General features: G+C 44.6%; 1 long non-coding RNA gene and 1 pseudogene across 5 annotated transcripts in view, besides 1 other annotated feature; both read left to right on the forward strand.

The window, feature by feature from the left end:
* The window catches only part of LINC02086 (long intergenic non-protein coding RNA 2086), a 64,720-nt gene extending 56,199 nt beyond the window's left edge, over positions 1 to 8,521 (forward strand). For 3 of the 5 annotated variants that reach the window (NR_189648.1, NR_189647.1, NR_189646.1), the window contains 3 exons: positions 1,787 to 1,871; positions 5,176 to 6,858; positions 7,234 to 8,521. This is a non-coding gene — a long non-coding RNA (long intergenic non-protein coding RNA 2086). The remainder of the gene's footprint in view (positions 1 to 1,786; positions 1,872 to 5,175; positions 6,859 to 7,233) is intronic. The other 2 variants (NR_189645.1, NR_189644.1) reach the window with 2 other exon arrangements.
* Positions 14,110 to 14,283: a silencer, noted in NCBI's record as "fragment chr17:46790297-46790470 (GRCh37/hg19 assembly coordinates)". NCBI's record gives its function as "represses an EF-1alpha promoter that drives an FKBP-Casp9 reporter gene in an ReSE screen in HepG2 liver carcinoma cells {active_cell/tissue: HepG2}" and the evidence as "EXISTENCE:reporter gene assay evidence [ECO:0000049][PMID:32094911]".
* COX6B1P2 (cytochrome c oxidase subunit 6B1 pseudogene 2) lies at positions 14,822 to 15,043 on the forward strand (annotated as a pseudogene).

An 18,468-nucleotide genomic window follows, 5' to 3' on the forward strand; every position in this document is an offset into this window, starting at 1 on the left:
CCTGGGCAACATAGCGAGAACAAGTCTCTAAAAAATTTAAAAATTAGCAGGTTGTGATGGTGTGCCTGTAGTCCCAGCTACTTGGGAGGCTGTGGTGGGAGGATCACTTAAGTCTAGAAAGTCGAGACTGCAGTGAGCCATTATCATGCCATTACACTCCAGCCTGGGCAACAGACTGAGACCCTGCCTCAAAAAGAAAAAAAAAGAAATATTACTTCTCTTTACATCCCTTTGCCAGCCTCCATTTATAATATGATTGCCTTAAATATTTCCTCTGCATATTTTTAGAACCACAACAGACTGTATTGTAATTTTTGCTTCAACTATCAAAAATAATTTAGAAAACTCAAGAAGGGGCCAGGTGCAGTGTCTCATGCCTGTAGTCCCAGCACTTTGGGAGGCCAGGGTGGGTGGATCACGAGGTCAGGAGATCGAGACCATCCTGGCCAACATGGTGAAACCCCGTCTCTACTAAAATACAAAAACAGCTGGGCATGGTGGCGCACGCCTGTGGTCCCAGCTACCTGGGAGGCTGAGGCAGGAGAATAACTTGAACCCGGGAGGCAGAGTTGCAGTGAGCCAAGATCACACCACTGCACTCCAGCCTGGCTAGAGAGTGAGACTCTGTCTCAAAAAAAAAAAAAAGAAGAAAAGAAAAGAAAAAGAAAGAAAAGAAAGAAAGAAAACTCAAGAAGAAAAGGAGGCCAGATGAGGTGGCTCATGCCTGTAATCCCTGCACTTTGGGAGGCCAAGGCAGGCAGACCACTTGAGATCAGGAGTTGAAGACTAGCCTGGCCAACATGGCAAAATCCCGTCTCTACTAAAAATACAAAAAAATTAGCCAGGCACGGTGGTGGGCGCCTATAGTCCCAGCTACTCAGGAGACTGGGGCACGAGGATCGTTTGAACTTGGGAGGTAGAGGTTGCAGTGAGCCAAGATCCTGCCACTGCAGTCCAGCCTGGGTGATAGAACAAGACTCAGTCTAAAAAAAAGAAAAGAAAAAGAAGAAAAGGAGGCTGGGCATGGTGGCTCACACCTGTAATCCCAGCACTTTGGGAGGCCGAGGCGGGCAGATCACGAGGTCAGGAGATCGAGACCATCCTGCCTAACATGGTGAAACCCCATCTCTACTAAAAATACAAAAATTAGCCAGGTGTGGTGGTGGGCACCTGTAATCCCAGCTACTCAGGAGACTGAGGCATGAGAATAGCTTGAACCTGGGAGATGGAGGTTGCAGTGATCCAAGATTGTGCCACTGCCCTCTAGTCTGGGTGGCAGAGTGAGACCCTGTATTGAGGAGGAGGAGGAGGAAGAAGAGAAGGAGGAGGAAGGGGGAGGAGGAGGAGGAGGCGGAAGGGGAAAGGAAGGGATGGGGAAGAAGAAGAAGAAAAGTGTTTTTGAACAATGAGAATACGTGGATGGGGAGGGGCAATCACACACCAGGGTCTGTTGTGGGGTGGGGGGCTGGGGGAGGGATAGCATTAGGAGAAATACTTAATGTAGATGACGGGTTGATGGGTGCAGCAAATCACCATGGCATGTATATACCTATGTAACAAACCTGCACATTCTGCACATGTACCCCAAAACTTAAAGTATAATAAAAAAAAAGAAGAAGAAAAGTGTTTTATATTTAACCATGTCTTTGCTCACTGTGTTCTTTCTCCCTTCCTGATGTTTGTTTTCTTTCTTTTTAGAGAAATTTATTGTGCTTTACCCTTTATTCCTGAAATATAATTTCACAGGCAATAGAATTCTGGGTTGACTATTTTTTTTTTCTTTCAGCACTTGAAAATATTGGCTATTTCCTTCTGACCCCCATGGTTTCTTTTAAAAAATTTGCTGTTGTTTGAATTATTTTTCTCTACAGGTAAGGTTCATTTCCGTCTTGCTGCTTTCAAGAGTTTTCTTTGCCTTTACTTTTTTTAAAAAAATGTTTTAAATTTTATAGAAACAGGGTCTCACTGTTATCCAGACTGGTCTTGAACTCCTGGACTCAAATGATCCTCTTGCCTCAGCCTTCCAAATTACTGGGATTACAGACATGAGCCATCATGCCCGGCCTGCCTTTAATATTTAGAAATTTGGCTTTAATATATCTTGGTATTTCTTGAGTTTATCCTGTTTTGATGTGTTATCTTGTTCACTCAGCTTATTGAATCTGTAGGCTAATGGGGCTCTTTTTTGCCAAATTTGGGGAGTTTTAAGCCATTACTTTTTTCTATTTTTTTTTTTTCTTTTTGAGATGGTGCCTTGCTCTGCCACCCAGACTGGAGTGCGATGGCGCGATCTCGGCTCACTGCAACCCCTGCCTCCTGGATTCAAGCGATTCTCCAGCCTCAGCTTCCTGAACAACTGGGACTACAGGCACCTGCCACCACACCTGGCTAATTTTTGCATTTTTATTAGAGACGGGGTTTCACCATGTTGGCTAGGCTGGTCTCAAACTCCTGACCTCAAATGATCCACCCACCTCAGCCTCCCAAAGTGCTGGGATTATAGGCGTGAGCCACTGCGCTCCGCCAGCCATTACTTTTTGAGTACTTTTTTTAGCTGTGCCCTCTTTCTCATTTCTTCCAGGATTCTGATGACATGAATTTTAGATCTTTTCATCTAGTTCCACAGGTCCCTGTGGCTTTTTTCATTTTCTTCAAACTGTTTTCTCTCTGTTTCTCAGATTGGGTGATTTTTAATTATTCTATTTTCAGGTTCACTTGTTCTTTCCTCTGTCCCCTCCATTCTACTGTTTAGTCCATTTACTGAGGTTTTTTTACTTCGGTTATTATGTTTTTCAGGTTTAAACATTCCATTTAGCTCTTCTTTATATTTTCTGTTTCTTTACTAATACTTTCTATTTTTTTTGCTTTGTTTCAAATGTGTTCTTAATTATTTGTTGAAGCATCTCTCTGATGGCTGCTTTAAAATCTTTGTCAGATAATGTTAACATCTGGTATCTTTGTATTGTTGATTGTCTTTTTAAAATCAGTTTGAGATTTTTCTGATTCTTGGTAACATGAGTGATTTTCAGTTGATACCTAGATATCTCATATTATTTTATAGGCTCTGGATCTTATTTAAGTCTTCAGTCTTAGCTGGTTTTCTCTGAAACTGCTCCTACAGAGGAAGGGTGGGGGACTGTTACTTCTTTATTGCCAAGTGGTGGTAGAAGTCCAGCTTCTCCACTTGGCCTCCATTGACACTTCAAGGAGTGGGTGTTTCTCATTACTGCTGGTCAGGGGTGGGCGTTCTGCCTCCCCACATGGTTTCTGCTGATATCATGGTGGGGATAGGCTTGTTACTACTACGTAATGGTGAAAGTCCTGCCTCTTTACTAGGTCTCTACTCTAGTGGAAAGGGAGAAGGACATCTCGTTGCTTCTAGGTGAAGAGTAGGTTTCCGATGTAGTCTCCACTGACACAGGTTGACACTGAGGAGGTGGGGGTGGGACCCAGGGACATGGGTACAGGCCTGCAAGGATAAAAGTCCCTGATCTCTACATGGCCTCCTCTGACACCACCCAGTAGAGGTGCCGGGGGGCCTTGTTACAGCTTCGCCTTCAAAAGCGTGAAAGTCTCAGCTTCTCCCTCAACCTTTGCTGGTGTGAGTGGGACCAGTTTTTTTCTGTAGCGTTTGATTGGCGCGGAACTGTTATTGTCTTCAAAGTTTTCTGTCTTGCTGGGCTGTCCCTTTCCTAGTCCTTTGTCTAGTGAGAGCAGGCTTTTTTTCAGGCTCCTCTTTCTCCTTCTTATTCTTCTCCTCCCGTCTGAACCCATTGGCATTTCTAGGTTGCTGCTCCAAGCCTTGGATATATGACACCGTAATAAAATCGAGAGAATGCACCACCATGTTTTCCTCAGCCCAGGTCCATAGCCTGTCTGCCATCTTTGTATCTTTCCTAGTCTTCTAATGTCTGTTTTATAGACAATGTCCAGAGTTCTTAGCTGTATTTAGGAGGAGGAATAGGGAGAAGTACAGCTCCTCTGTATTCCTGGAGTGGAATTCTCTGCCTCTCTGATTTTAAACAAGCCAAACTCACAAGAGGGCAAGCAGAAAGCAATTTCATTCTTTCTCACGACTATCCCTTTCAATCGGGCCTGTGGCTTCATTCTTCTAGATGAAATTTCAGGCAGATTCATAGCCTTTTCAATCCCTTTCAGTTATAAATATGTGCATGTGTGTTTGTTCGTATTAACATCAATCCTCTGAACTCTTGTCCAATCTAATCTTTTGCCCTCCCAAACTTGGACTTATCTCAGGGCCTATCTATATCTATGGTAGAAAGAGGGGCTCTTGGGGGTCTTGGTTAGCTTCTTTGCTATTTCCCCTCCTTACTCTTTTCTTCTCCCCTGTCTCCCTTTTTCTTTTTTATTTATTTTTAGAGCTAGAGTCTCGCTACATTGCCCAGGCTAGACTCAACTCCTGGGCTCAAGCGATCCTCTTGCCTCAGCTTCATGAGTAGCTGGGACTACTGCAGGCAGCTCCCCTTTATTTTCTGTATTGCATCTGGCTCCGCTAGTGTTGAAGTGAGAGAGATCAAGGAGAAATACAGGGCAAGAAAAGATCCTGTGTCTGTTATAGTTTTAATCAGGTGTTGGAGCTCTCCAGATGTAGCCAAAGGCCAACTCTTTTCTATGGGGCCCATTTGTGGATTTTTCAGTTCCTCCCATTTCTGGTTATTATTTGGAATCAGAATACCAATAATTGAAAAGAAATAGCATTTCAAGCAAGGGAATATCTGTTCTGGCTTGGAAAAAATCTATTTCATACACATTTTCATTTTTAGAAAGAATATTGTTGTTTAGAAGGAGTATTTAAAAGTTTATATTTAGAATGCTGTCGAAAGTTCCAAATTATTTGTTAAATATTTAGAAGATTTTATAGAAAAGGAGCATTTCAAATAAAACTCAAGTATTAAAGAAGAATATCAATTAGGCAATAATACCAATTAAGCATAAAAAAAGAGAATACCAGTTAGGCAACCCACTCTCCTGTTGGGCTGTGAACTGGCCATGCCCCTTTTTGCCTACATTTTTTGCTCATGCCATTCACTGGCTGAAATGCCTTCCCCTTCCTCTAGCCAAATCCTGCTTTTCCTTTGAGGCCCAAGTAGCACCTCCTCATGAAAGCCTCCCATGACTACCCCAACTCACTTCTCTTTTTCCTCTCGCATTTAGGTATTGACTGCTGCCTCATGAAGGCTGGTCCTGTCTCTATAGTGAATATTGTGCACCTCAGGGTAGAATGGAGAGCAGAAGACTTCAAATCAGGCAGTCTGGGTTCAGACCCCAATTCTAGTGCTAAATAGCTACGTGACTTTAGGCCGATTGTGTGTGACTTCCCTGAGCCCCAGTCTCTTTGCCTGCAAAATGAGAAAAATTATAACAATGTCATCGGTTGTTCTGAGGATTCTGAGAGGAATTAGTAGGAGAGAGAACTAAGAAGCTGCGGGCCTCTACAGAGCCATTCAACTGGCATTTCGGAAGATGTTGCCCATCAGAGTCAGACCTTCTTAGCATCTTCCGGCTGGGCCCAAACTTCCCAAGACCATTTGGACAAGGTCATCTCTATCCCACCATGGCCTCCTCCCAGAGGAGGAGAAGAATCATGCTGTTACAGCAGAACCGAAGATTTGGGCAAGGGAGCTAATGATTATGTTCTGCGTCAGGTCAGAGATGGGCTGGGAAAGCCACTCCAAAGCCAAGACAAGCAGTTTCCTGGAAAAAGAAGGCTGCGCGGAGCCCAGAGTGGCCTGGATCCTGCCTCATTTCCTGGACCAGCTCCTTAGGTGGTTACTGGATTGCCAATAAAGCAGAGCTTATTAAAGTCAACGAGCTCAGGCTTCATCGCCGCCATGGTATCCAAGCACCAGTCTGTCTGGGATTTCATTTGCCAGATGGACAAAGGAGAGGTTGTTCCAATACATATCCTGAGTGGTGGGGGTGGGGAGAGAAGGGGAAGAATGCTCTCTAGAGAATTCTCTTTGTCCTCTGAAGTAAATAGAGATCATGTCTTCCCCAGCCACACTCAGTGATCTGAATCTCTTGGACTGTGGATTTTTCCTTTACCTGCTGTGAAGCCTTGAAAAGTATGAATTAGCTTGATAATGATCCTCTAAAGATGTTCAAGAGTTAAAGACGTGTTTAAGTTCTTCAGGCAATCCAATATGACTACGGGTTTCCAAAAATTTGAAGGAAACTGAAAATCATAGTTCCCAAACCAGATATTTTCCGGTGTCCAGATGTTCACTGGCATGCAAACCAAATGTCTGGATTATGAGCTCCTTTTTTCATTTCTTTTTATCAGCTTACATCCAGATGTTGGATCCAACTGGTCAGAGGCCTGGGGCAGAGACAGAAATCAAATCTAGGGTGTTCATCTAGAGTCTCCTGCTCCTCCATTCCTGCTTCCTCCTCACGCTGCCCCCACATCCTCCCCAACTCACCTTCATGCTACATCTCGGCAAATACAGCTCATATCCAGGCACGGTGCAGCCCTTGACAGCTGGGTCCGCAAAGGCAGATCGGGTATATCTTTAAAGAAAAGTTATCTTAACCATTGAGAAGCCTTCCTTCCTCAGAGGAGAGCACCTCCCCAGCAGACCTCCGAGGAGACCAAGGGCAGGACAGGAAGGGTGAAAGGAAGTTTCAGGACTGCAGGAAATAAGAGCTTGGAGGTCAAGGGAGAGATCAGATAAAACATGAATCTGATCAGCATCCTAGTGGTCTAGAGTGGAGACAATCTGCGGAGTCAACCTCAGTAAGGACACACATAGAGAAGAACCAAAGCCTCTAAAGACGAAGCTGAGAAGTGTACGGTCGTAGAAGACTCGTGTCTGTTATTCTTAAAAGCTCAAGGAGGTATAAACTGCATAAGATTTAAATGGAGGAACACACGATCTTACTTGCTTTCAGAGGATTTTGGGGTCCCCATTCTCCCATTAGCAGCCAGGCAACTCTCTCTGTCCTCTCCAAAGGGAGGAGTGGAAAGGCTTCAAAATCCCTAGGAAATAAATGTCCCCTCCACCCAAAGTCCAGTGTGTAGCCTGAGGACAGGACTTTCACTGAGAGAAATATATAAAAGAAGGGGATAGAAGCCAGGCACCCAGGTGGTGGGTAACAGAAGGGAACTTTCTAGCTGGTTTTATTTAGGGAGGGCATCCTGGGCAAAAGTCAGAATGCAACTTTTTTTTTAAACCCCTTTTAACAAGATGCTGTTGAATTCCTCTTTTGCAGATGTTCTGCCAATTGAATGGAAACTGTCCATAGTGGGGAGCAGAGAGCCTCATCTTTTCTGGAACTGAACATCCATCCTTAAGGCCAGATTTCTCCCATCACCAACTTTAACTCCTGCCCTAGCCCTCTCTCTTCCTTTTCAAAACCCTCTCCACCCAGGAAGGGAGATTCTGGAGCCAAGACTGTACCAGCCACACCTCCCCAGAGTTGTTAAGGAAGGAACTCGAAGCCAGGGGTGGTCTTCTGGCAAGCACCCCCACTACCAGTAGCAGGACAGATGTGTTTCTAATGGACTACACTATCCCCGGAGGTCACATGATTCAGGCTGCCAAGGGTACCTGCCCTTGGGAAATCAACTCCCGAAGATAAATTGGGATTGGGTCCTGAGAAGATCCATGGAAGCCCAGAGGACCCTGCCTCTCTCTGTTGCTTCATGCTGTAGAGGCAGTACTGGGGAGGGCCTGCCCCACATCCGGCAGGGCAGCTGGAACCATGTGTTTGATGACACTCTGCTCCCTCAATGTGGAGCCTCATCCTCATCTCACAGTCTAGCAGGCCTCTGGTGGGTTAGGCTTGTCTCACCCAGTGTGTGAGTTTTTTTGGAAGTGACCTGATTTTGGAGTTTCCCTCCAAGCCTTTCTCAGGTACATGCTTTCTCTTTTATTCTGTCTTCTTTTTTTGATCTTCTTAAATCTGATTTTCTCCTTTTTCCCTCTCTTGTCTCCATCTTTTTTCCAGTCTCTCGCTTCTCTTTATTTCTCCCCATATTTCACTCTGTTCTCTCACCCCAACCTTTCCCTTCTGTTTCTCTCCCTCCCTCTCTTCCCACCCCCTGCCTGGCCTTCCATATATCAAGCAGAGTTTTATCACCTTATGCAGGGGCAGCCCTGCCACCTGCCATAAAGTTGATAGGCTAATGACATTTTGTGGATATTGCCATGTCACAAGTCCAGGACAGCATCAAAAATAGCCCTGATGTCTAAACCACTTCAGCTATCTTTTTTATTTTTAAAATAAATACATTCACATGCTTTTAAGAAACTATAAAAATATATAAAGTAAAAAGATCTTTCTCTCACACTGTCTCCACCTCTCCTGGTCTCACCGTTGTGCTTAGGGGAAACCATTGTGATTAGTTTCTCCTGTGTCCTTCCAGAGTGTCTTTATGCAAATGAAAATTATTGTGATAATATATTCCTATTTTCCCCCTTACTACACAAAAGATAGACTACCATAATCCCATTCTGCACTTTTTTTTCACTTGATAATAAAAACATGATTTTATTAATGGGTGTTTATGGAGTGATTACCATGTGCTATGTGCCTGCTGGGCACTGCAGAACATACACTGGTGAACAAGACACAATCACAATCCCCGTATTCAAGGATCTGAAGACCGTCTAGTGACAAAGCCCAACAGGCTCATCTACATTCAGCCATGCGATAGAGGGCTGAATGTCTTTAAATAAGTAAAGTCGGCCAGGCATGGTGGCTCCTCCCTGTAATCCCAGCACTTTGGGAGGCCGAAGCAGGAGGATCACTTGTGTCCAGGAGATCGAGACCAGCCTGGGCGACACAGTGAGACCCTGTCTCTACAAAAAATAAAAAATTAGCTGGGCATGGTGTGGTGGTGTGTGCCTGTAGTTCCAGCTACATGGGAGGCTGAGGTAGGAGGTTTGCTTGAGCCCAGGATGTTGAGGCTGCAGTGAGTCATGGTTTGTGCCACTGCATTCCAGTCTGGGGTGACAGAGCAAGACCCTGTCTCAAAAAAATAATAAACAAAATAAGTAAAATCAAGGAACAATGAGTGCACAGAAGAGGGAGATTAAATCCAACCTTGAGGACTCATGGTGGGGATGGTGTCTGAGCTGAACTACGCAGAATGGATGGGATTCTGCACACACAGAGCTGGGGAAGTGGAGGGTTTCATGTGGTCAGAGATGTCAAGGTGAGAAAGTTCTGGCACATACAAGGAAGTGAACGGCAGAAGCCCAGGGGGTTGGGAAAGGATACAGCTGGAGGGGCAGTGTGTGCAGTAGGAAACTTAGAGAACTGGGGTCAACCACCTGGATTTAAGTCCTGGTTCTACCTCCTACTAGCTAGTCAGTTCTTCATCTGTGAAACGGGGTAAAAATTATCTCCCGCATTATTAGAAGGATTAAATGAGGCAACATCATGAAGACCTCACAATGAAGGACTGCACAGGGTGAGGTGTTAAGCCTGAAAAGACAGGTTGGAATTTGATCTTATATGGCCCTGGGGGCCATGATGCAGAGCTCAGGCCTTATACTGAAGGCTTTGGAGAAGGGAACAGTGAAGTGTTTGGGATAAAGAAATAACATATAGGACCAAGGAGAGAAGGTGCGGGTGGTAGGACAGGCATTTCATGAAATGCTATAAATCTTTTCTCTTGGTTACCAATGAAAGACAACTACACATCAGATAAACTTTTACTTTATTATAAAAATGATTTATAGTTTCACTTAGGAATGCAACTTCAGTGGGTAGTAACTCTGTAACTATATGGTGGCATCCTTGGAATATATTGATTTATTCACTCCTCATTTATTTATTCATTTGATCAACATTTGTCCAGCACCTATGAACAGTTAGGCGCTTGTGCCATACCTTCTATCCTGAAGTCAGTTTACCAGACAACATACCATGAAGGCTGACTGAAGAGGGTCTGCTGAGTTCCACAACTCTCAGTCTTGCCCCAGTGCCTCTTTGGAACATCATGGCACAGAAAGGAAGTTCACATATTTCTCTGACTTCTAGCTCCCTGCAGTTAGAAGAAGTCAACCACGGCAGGGCTGAGGACAACAGAAGAGTCAGGTCCAGAGGATAAAGTCATGATGTCAACAGTGTGGATCAAGACTGGCCAAGGCTGGGTGCAATAGTACACACCTGTAGTCCCAGCTACTCAAGAGGCTGAGGCAGGAGGATCGCTTGAGTGCAGGAGTTCAAGTCTAGCCTGGGCAACATAGTGAGACCCTCCCCATTTCTTAAAAAAAAAAAAAAGAAAAGAAAAGAAAAAAGATTAGCCAAGCCAAGAGAAGTCCAGGGCAGAACATTTTATTTCAGGTAATTGGGAATTGATGATGTATCATTACTGGGCTCTGTTCTCCCTTTAGGGGGTTCAAGCCAAGTGGAGGAAATGCTTCATTCCCACTTGCCTTTCTGACCAGATTCTCCTGCAGTGCTGCAGTTTTCTGCTTTTAGGGAGCTGAGGATATAGATTGAGGTATGGTAGAAACTACAGAGTGAGCCTCATCTGCCTCATTTTTTTGTTTTGTTGTGGGTTTTTTGTTTTGTTTTGTTTTTTGTTTTATTGAGAAGTTTTGCTGTTGTTGCCCAGGCTGGAGTGCGGTGGCGTGATCTCAGCTCACTACAACCTCTGCCTCCCGGGTTCAAGGAATTCTCCTGCCTCAGCCTCCTGAGTAGCTAGGATTATAGGCATACACCACCACCCCCGGCTAATTTTGTATTTTTAGTAGAGACAGGGTTCCTCCATGTTGGTCAGGCTGGTCTCGAACTCCAGACCTCAGGTGATCCACCCGCCTTGGCCTCCCAAAGTGCTGGGATTACAGGCGTGAGCCACCGCGCCCGGCCCATCTGCCTCTTCAATGAGCTGAGGTGGCAGAGACGGCACCCTCAGCCCAGCCACTGGAAAAACCCTTGCCAAGTTGGAGGAAGACCTCTCAGCCCAGAGTCACACTTATACCTAACAGCTGTGCCAAATATGATTCTGGGCCATGGAAACATTCAGAGTAAAAATAGTATATGGGGCATATTGAGATGCTTCCACGGAAACCTTCTGGGGGACAAATAAAATGTTTTTATTGAGAAAGGTCTCGCATCTATCATCTAAATCATTTCTGAAATGAAACAACAGTCTCTGGTTACTCACACCTGGGTTGAAGGAGCCACTCCTCTGGGGAATCCCTTGTAGCTTTACACGTGAATGGGGAATCCTTTGTTTTAGAGCCACAGCTTACTCTTCAGAGAAAGGGCGTTAGGAAGGGAGACAGCTGATTCTTAGGTCCAAAGCCCAGAAAGTAGTTCCGCCTCTAAGGCCGAGTGAGCCCCACCTTGGGCCAAGCTGGGAATGAAGCAGCACTGGTTTTATTTTTTTGTTTTTATTTTTTACCTTTTTTTTTTTTTTTTTGAGATAGCATCTCACTCTGTCTCCCAGACTGGAGTGCAGTGGTGCGATTTAGGCACACTGCAACTTCCGCCTCCCAGGTTCAAGTGATTCTCCTGCCTCAGCTTTCTGAGTAACTGGGATTACAGGTGTGTGCCACCAAGCCCAGCTAATTTTTGTATTTTCAGTACAGACAGGGTTCCACCATGTTGACCACACTGATGGCCAACTCCTGACCTCAAGTGATCCACCTGCCTCTGCCTCCCAAAGTGCCGGGATTACAGGCATGAGGCACTGTGCCCAGCCCAACACTGGTTTTGTCACCTGTACACATACTCCACAAGGGCCCCTGACAACCAAGTTTTCAGCTCTCCCAAGCCTCAGACCACATGGCACCAAACAGCTAGATGAAAAATTCAATTAGACTCACAGGCACTATTTTCCTACAGGTTACTGAGGTATTAAAACAACTGGAAATTTAGATGAGTTTGTGTTGCTTATCCAAATATTTTATTAAAATATTTTATAAAAAGGGGAGAAGAGGCAGAAGAAAATAATCAGGTAGACTGCCAGGGTAAGGAGGGACAGGAAGAGGAACACAGCATGTGCTCCCCAAATTCCCAGAGGGACAAAACTTTTTAGGGCAGTTTTATTTAACTGCTATAAATTGTCAAAAAACATGAAATCATCCACATACATTGTGAAACATCTGACATTCCATGACAACCATGTCAAATGCATGCAGATCATTAAGATAGAAACCAAAACTCATAAAATCATAGATATGTTGCTCTGATGCAGCTGTAAATTATCCTTCAACTTCACTCCGTAGGGGGATCTCTAACCAGTTTCCTCAATTCCCATGCTTCCATGCCAAGCATTTTCAATGGGATATCTACCAACATGCTAAAAATGTACTTCGTTCAATTGTGTGGCCAATTCTTGACCTGACCGTTCATATCATTTGCTTAGATCTCCCCTTTACTGTGCCTAAGCACACCCAGCCCTGTATGACACAGAAAGTTCACTGACAGTTTGAATAATTCAGCCAGGAATGTCCCCTGGAAGACCACATGGGTAGAGAAGCTCTAAGGAGGCAGAAAAACTGGCTCATCCCTGAGAGAGCTCCAGGAACAGTCTCCCCCACGCCTCCTCTCCCACCCATCCAAATTTCTCAGAGCTGCTCTCAAAGCTGCACAGAAAAGATTTGGAGACAAAAGGCAATAAGGGGGCCGGGTGCAGTGGCTCATGCCTGTAATCCTAGCACTTTAGAAGGCTGAGGTTGGTGGATCACTTGAACCCAGGAGTTCGAGACCAGCCTGGGCAACATAGGGAAACTCTACAAAAAATACAAAAAATTAGCCAAGCGTGATGGTATGCACTTGTAATCCCAGCTACTCCAAAGGTGGAGGGAGAGGATCGCTTGAGCCTGGGAGTTCAAGGTTGCAGTTGAGTGATGATTGTGCCACTGTATGCCAGCCTGGGTGACCAAGCAATACCCCATCTCAAATAAAATAAAGTTAAATTAAAATAAAATAAAACCCTGCCGGGCGCAGTGGCTCACGCCTGTAATCCTAGCACTTTGGGAGGCCAACGCGGGTGGATCACCTGAGGTCAGGGGTTCGAGACAAGCCTGGCCAACATGGTGAAACCCTGTCTCTACTAAAAATACAAAAGTTAGCCAGGTGTGGTGGTGGGCACCTGTAATCCCAGCTACTCAGGAGGCTGAGGCAAGAGAATCGCTTGAACCCCGGAGGCGGAAGTTGTGGAGAGCTGAGATCACACCACTTCACTTCAGCCTGGGCGACAGAGCGAGACTCTGTCTCAAAAAAAAAGAAGAAAAAAAAAAAGCCAGTGAGGGGAGGCTCCTCTCACCTCCAATAATAAGAAGGAACTGGCTCAAAGATATCCATTTACCCTTTCTGTAAAATGGACATTCTTTCCCTTTCCCTGTACCTCACCATACATGAGATGAAAGATGTGAAGTACACAGGTACTTGGAAAATGAAAAAGTTTCATACCAATGTAAGAGGGCTTTTTCCCTAGACCACAGCAGGACTTGAATCCAACCCATTGGCTCGAAGTCCAGCGCTCATTCTATTCTGCCACAGCTACTGAGCAATGAGGCAAGTTCTACCTTGGGCCAGGGCAGGGCCAGCCCACGGCAGCAGGTAAGAGCCTGTGAGTTGTATTAACCTGCTAGAATAGGGGAGTGTGACCTGTGAAATAAAGATCCTAATGCTCCCTGCTCCCAGAGTGCAGAAATAGCACTGAGTTTCCTTCCTCTTGAATTTTAAAATGCCTCGTAATACTCTCCCCATGTCCTAGATTATGATATGGAGCTAGAAATTAGCATTCTATTCCAACACACTGTGGGGCCTTCGCTTTGGGGTTTGAAATGATGGTTTTTAATAAGCTGGCTCCAGGTACCTGTCACCAGTAATAGAAGTTCTGCCCGGGAAGATAGATCGCTTCTTGTTAAAAGACCATGGGGCAATAAATTTCCTGAGGCATAACTCAGCTTCCAAATCAGGACTCAGGAGAATCGCTTCTACCTTCTGACACTAACCCTTTGGCCTCTGGTCCCTGCTGACCCTGACCATTAACCTCAGTCACAGCTCTTCTTTGCCCAGGTCATTGTGCTTGCATTTAGGGGAGTTTGGTGAGATCCACAAGGGCATAACTTGCAGGTGTGACTGTGCCCCAGGACTGGGGTCAGTGGAGGGAGATCATAGAGAGGACCAGAGCCATGAGTCTTGATGGTCTGCCGTGAGCAAACGCATATCTCTGCTGTCCCAAGGATCCAGGCCATCAAGACTGCAAAATAAGCTCATCATAGAAATTTAAGCAGTTCTGTCAGACACTGGCATCTTTGCTGAGGCATCAGGGGAGTCTTTAAGTGCACAGTGGCTCACACCTGTAATCCCAGCACTTTGGGAGGCCAAGGCAGGCAGATCGCCTGAAGTCAGAGTTCGAGACCAGCCTGGCCAACATGGTGAAACCCCATCTCTACTAAAAATACAAAAATTAGCTGGGCATGGTGGCACATGCCTATAATCCCAGCTACTTGGGAAGCTGAGGCAGTGGGATCACTGGATCCCAGGAAGTTGAGGCTACAATGAGCCAAGATCACACCACTGCACTGCAGCCTGGGTGACACAGTGAGACCCTGTCTCAAAAAAAAAAAAAAAAAAAAAAAAAGACCCAAATCAAGAATAAGACCAGCCAGGCACGGTGGCTCACACCTGTAATCCCAGCACTTTGGGAGGCCGAGGCAGGTTGATTACCTCAGGAGGTCAGGAGTTCCAGAGTAGTCTGGCCAACTTGGGGAAACCCTATCTCTACAAAAATACAAAAATTAGCCAGGCATGATGGCAGGTGCCTTTAGTCCCAGCTAGTCAGGAGGCCGAGGCGGGAGAATTGCTTGAACCCACAAGGCGGAGGTTGCAGTGAGCTGAGATCGTGCCGTTGCACTCCAGCCTGGGAGACAGAGCAAGACTCCTTCTCAAAAAAAAAAAAAAAAGAACTACAAGACCGCTCTTTTTGACAGCAGCTTCCCCAACCAGAACCAGCCCAGGAACTGCTTGCAGGACTACCTGGACTTCCACCTCTGTGAGAAGGCAGTGATTGCTAAAGGGGACAATGTCTTTGTATGTGAATGGTACCAGCCTGTGTACAAGTCCCTCATTCCCATATCCTGGATCTCAGCCTGGGACGACCACTGGGCAGAAGCCACATTTCCCTGGGAAGATTTGAACTGGCTGCACCCCACCTTTCCTCTGTCCTCCGTCCTTCTCCCAGGGTGGTAAAAGGGGACCTGGGTACATGGCGATCCCCACCCTGGAACCCTCAATCATGACTTGACTAATAATAAAACTTATTGGAAAGTGAAAGAAAGAAAGAAAAGAAAGAAAGAGGCCAGGTGTGGTGGCTCACACCTGTAATCCCAGCACTTTGGGAGGCCAAGGTGGGAGGATCACTTGAGGCCAGGAGTTCAAGACCAGCCTGGCCAACATGGGGAAACCCTGTCTCTACTAAAAATAGCAAAAATTAGCTGGGTGTGGTGACACATCACCACTACTCGGGAGGCTGAGGCAAGAGAATCGCTTGAAACTGCGGAGGTTGCAGTGGGCCGAGATTGCACCACTGCACTCTCCGGCCTGGGTGACACAATAAGACTCCGTCTAAAAAAAAAAGAGAGAGAGAGAAATCCAAGCAAATGTAATCAATCATGTTATTCAATCTGACCACTTGCTTGTGGGGATTGGAGACTGATATATGGATAATGAACTTTTAAAAATACCACAGAGGTAGTAAATTAAACATATATAGTGCCTACCCTATAACCCAGAAATTCTACAAGAAATGTGATTCAATTTGTTCACCAAAAGACTTGTTCAAGAATATTGATAGTAGCTTTATTTGTAATAGACAAAAATATAGACAACTCAAATGTCCATCAACAAATGAATGGATAAACTAGTTGCGGTGTATCCATACAGTGGAATAGCAGAACGCAATTAAAAATAATAAACTGTCAATACACACAACAACATGGAGATTAATCTCACAGACATTTTGTTGAATGGAAGAAACCCAGACCCCAAAGAGTACACACTGTGTAATTCTACTTATAAAAAGTTCAAGAACAGTCAAAACAAGTCAATGTCAATAGATGCGGGGATTTGAGACTGATCAGAACGGCAGTTACGGCCAGGCACAGTGGCTCATTCCTGTAATCCCAGCACTTTGGGAGGCCGAGGCAGGTGGATCACCTAGGGTCAGGAGTTCGAGACCAGCCTGACCAACATGGTGAAACCCTGTCTCTACTAAAAATAGAAAAATTAGCTGGGCATGGTTACATTACAGGTGGAAGCCTGTAATCCCAGCTACTCAGGAGGCTGAGTCAGGAGAATTGTTTGAACCCAGGAGGCAGTGGTTGCAGTGAGCCACACTCCAGCCTGGGCGACAGAGCGAGACTCCGTATCAAAAACAAAAACAAAAAAGAATGGCAGTTACCTCTGGAATATTATACTGGAAAGGGTCTGGAGGGAACACACAGGGATAGAGGAAATGAAATGTTTTCTATCTTATTCTGAATGGTGTTTATCTAGGTAAATAGGTAACTTCAAGCTATACACAAGATTAATACACTTTATTGTATATATGTTATACTTGGAAAAAGGAAAGCTGTTTTGTAAAACATCCATAGTGGTTTTTTTGACACGAAAATGTGTCTCATGTCTTTCTTTATAAAATATTAAAAATCCAACTTTATCCTGATTTTAAGTGAAAAGGAATAAAATGACAGTAAAAAAATAAGAAGTCACCACTAAATATGAATGTGTGAAGCCGTTGTAGCAGTTCCCTGTCTGAAGCACAAACAGGAAGTAACTCTGGTGCCCAATAGCATAAAGGGTTTTTTTCCCCCTCTCCTCAGCATCCCAAGGATTAACCATATGCTCTGGCCAGCACGCAGCCCCAATGACCTCACGTGACAATGCCAATAAAACCAGACTCAGACACCAGACTCCACTCCAGTCCCTCCAGGTCCTTATTGTCACCTACGAGAGCAGTTGTCCTTGCAATCCCCAAGTTCTGCCTGTTGTATTTTTAACTGAAAGTAGGTTACAAAGTAAATAAAAAATCAATCTATTTCTGAAAAAAAATTATTATTATATTTTAAAATCCCATTTCTATTTCACATGACACTGTTAGATGAGTCAGCTGTGTATCTGTTCATTTTAACTCTTTTAAAATATTTTCTACCCTGTTTTTATCCCTCTTCTATTCATTAGAGAAGGTCAATGCCACAGGAGTGCAACAATAATAGGAAAAAAATCCTCTCTATCTAACAAGGGCTAGCATTGGGGTTGGGAAGAAGGGCCAAGCACTTCGCCCCCACCCACCCATCATCACTAACTGTCAAATATTTACTTCTGGTAAATATTTTAGTCTCTGAACCAAAGATAATAACCTAGGAAGGGGTGAATCAATCCAGTTTGGGTTGGTCCCACCCCTTCTTTGCTTCCTCCACCTATTTCCTGCATTGCTCTTTTTCTTTGTAAACAGGCACAGGCTTTCAGGGGGTGGGAGAGCAGTGTTAAAATTTTAAAAGTAAAACACACAAATCTTGAATGTTTAGTTTAATGAATTTTTACACATGTATACAGGCACATAACCACCACCTTGATCAAAACACGGAACATTTTGAGCACCTTAAAAGGCCCCCTTTTATTTCCTTCTAACAATGGGGACTTTTTTTTTTTTTTAAGACACAGTGTCTGCTGGGCCTCATGGCTCATGCCTGTAATCCTAGCACTTTGGGAGGCCGAGGCAGGGGGATCACTTGAGCCCAGGAGTTCGAGACCAGCCTGGGAAATATGGCAAAACCCCATCTCTACCAAAAATACAAAAAATTAGCTGGGCTTGGTGGTGCACACCTGTAGTCTCAGCTACCTGGGAGGCTGAGGTGGGAGGGGGAGGATCACTTGAGCCTGGGAGGTTGAGGCTGCAGAGAACAGTGATCACACCACTGCACTCCAGCCTGGGCAACAGAGCAAGACCCTGTCTCAAAAGAGAGAGAGAGAGAGAGAAGCTCATTGCAGCCTCGAACTCCCGGGCTTAAGCAATCCTGCCACTTCAGCCTCCTGAGTAGCTAGGACTACAGGTATGCACCACATCTGGCTATTTCAGAAGGGGGAATTTTTAACCTAGAATTTTTGAAGCATTCTATTTCAGGGGATACTACTCTCATGTCTCTAACAAACATACTCAGTGGCATAACAATTTCACTCTTAGGAATTATTTTTAAAAGTAAACATGGAAACAAAAAATCGAAATGATTTTTAGATAAATAAATGCAATCATTAAAATCAAGCTTTTGAAGAATATTTAATAACACTGGGAAATGTTCATAATCTAACATTAAATAAAAGGCAAGACAAAAAAATTCTTGCAGAATCTCAGTTTTGAAATTGTACATATGTGCAAGGAAAAATAACTGAAGAAAATATAACAAAAGAGTAGCTTGGTAAACTTTGGGTGGTAGTATATGGGGTGAATTTTATTTCCTTCTTTATAATTATTTT

The sequence above is a fragment of the Homo sapiens genome, chromosome 17 (assembly GCF_000001405.40).
Source record: "Homo sapiens chromosome 17, GRCh38.p14 Primary Assembly".
NCBI classification, from domain to species: Eukaryota; Metazoa; Chordata; class Mammalia; order Primates; family Hominidae; genus Homo; species Homo sapiens.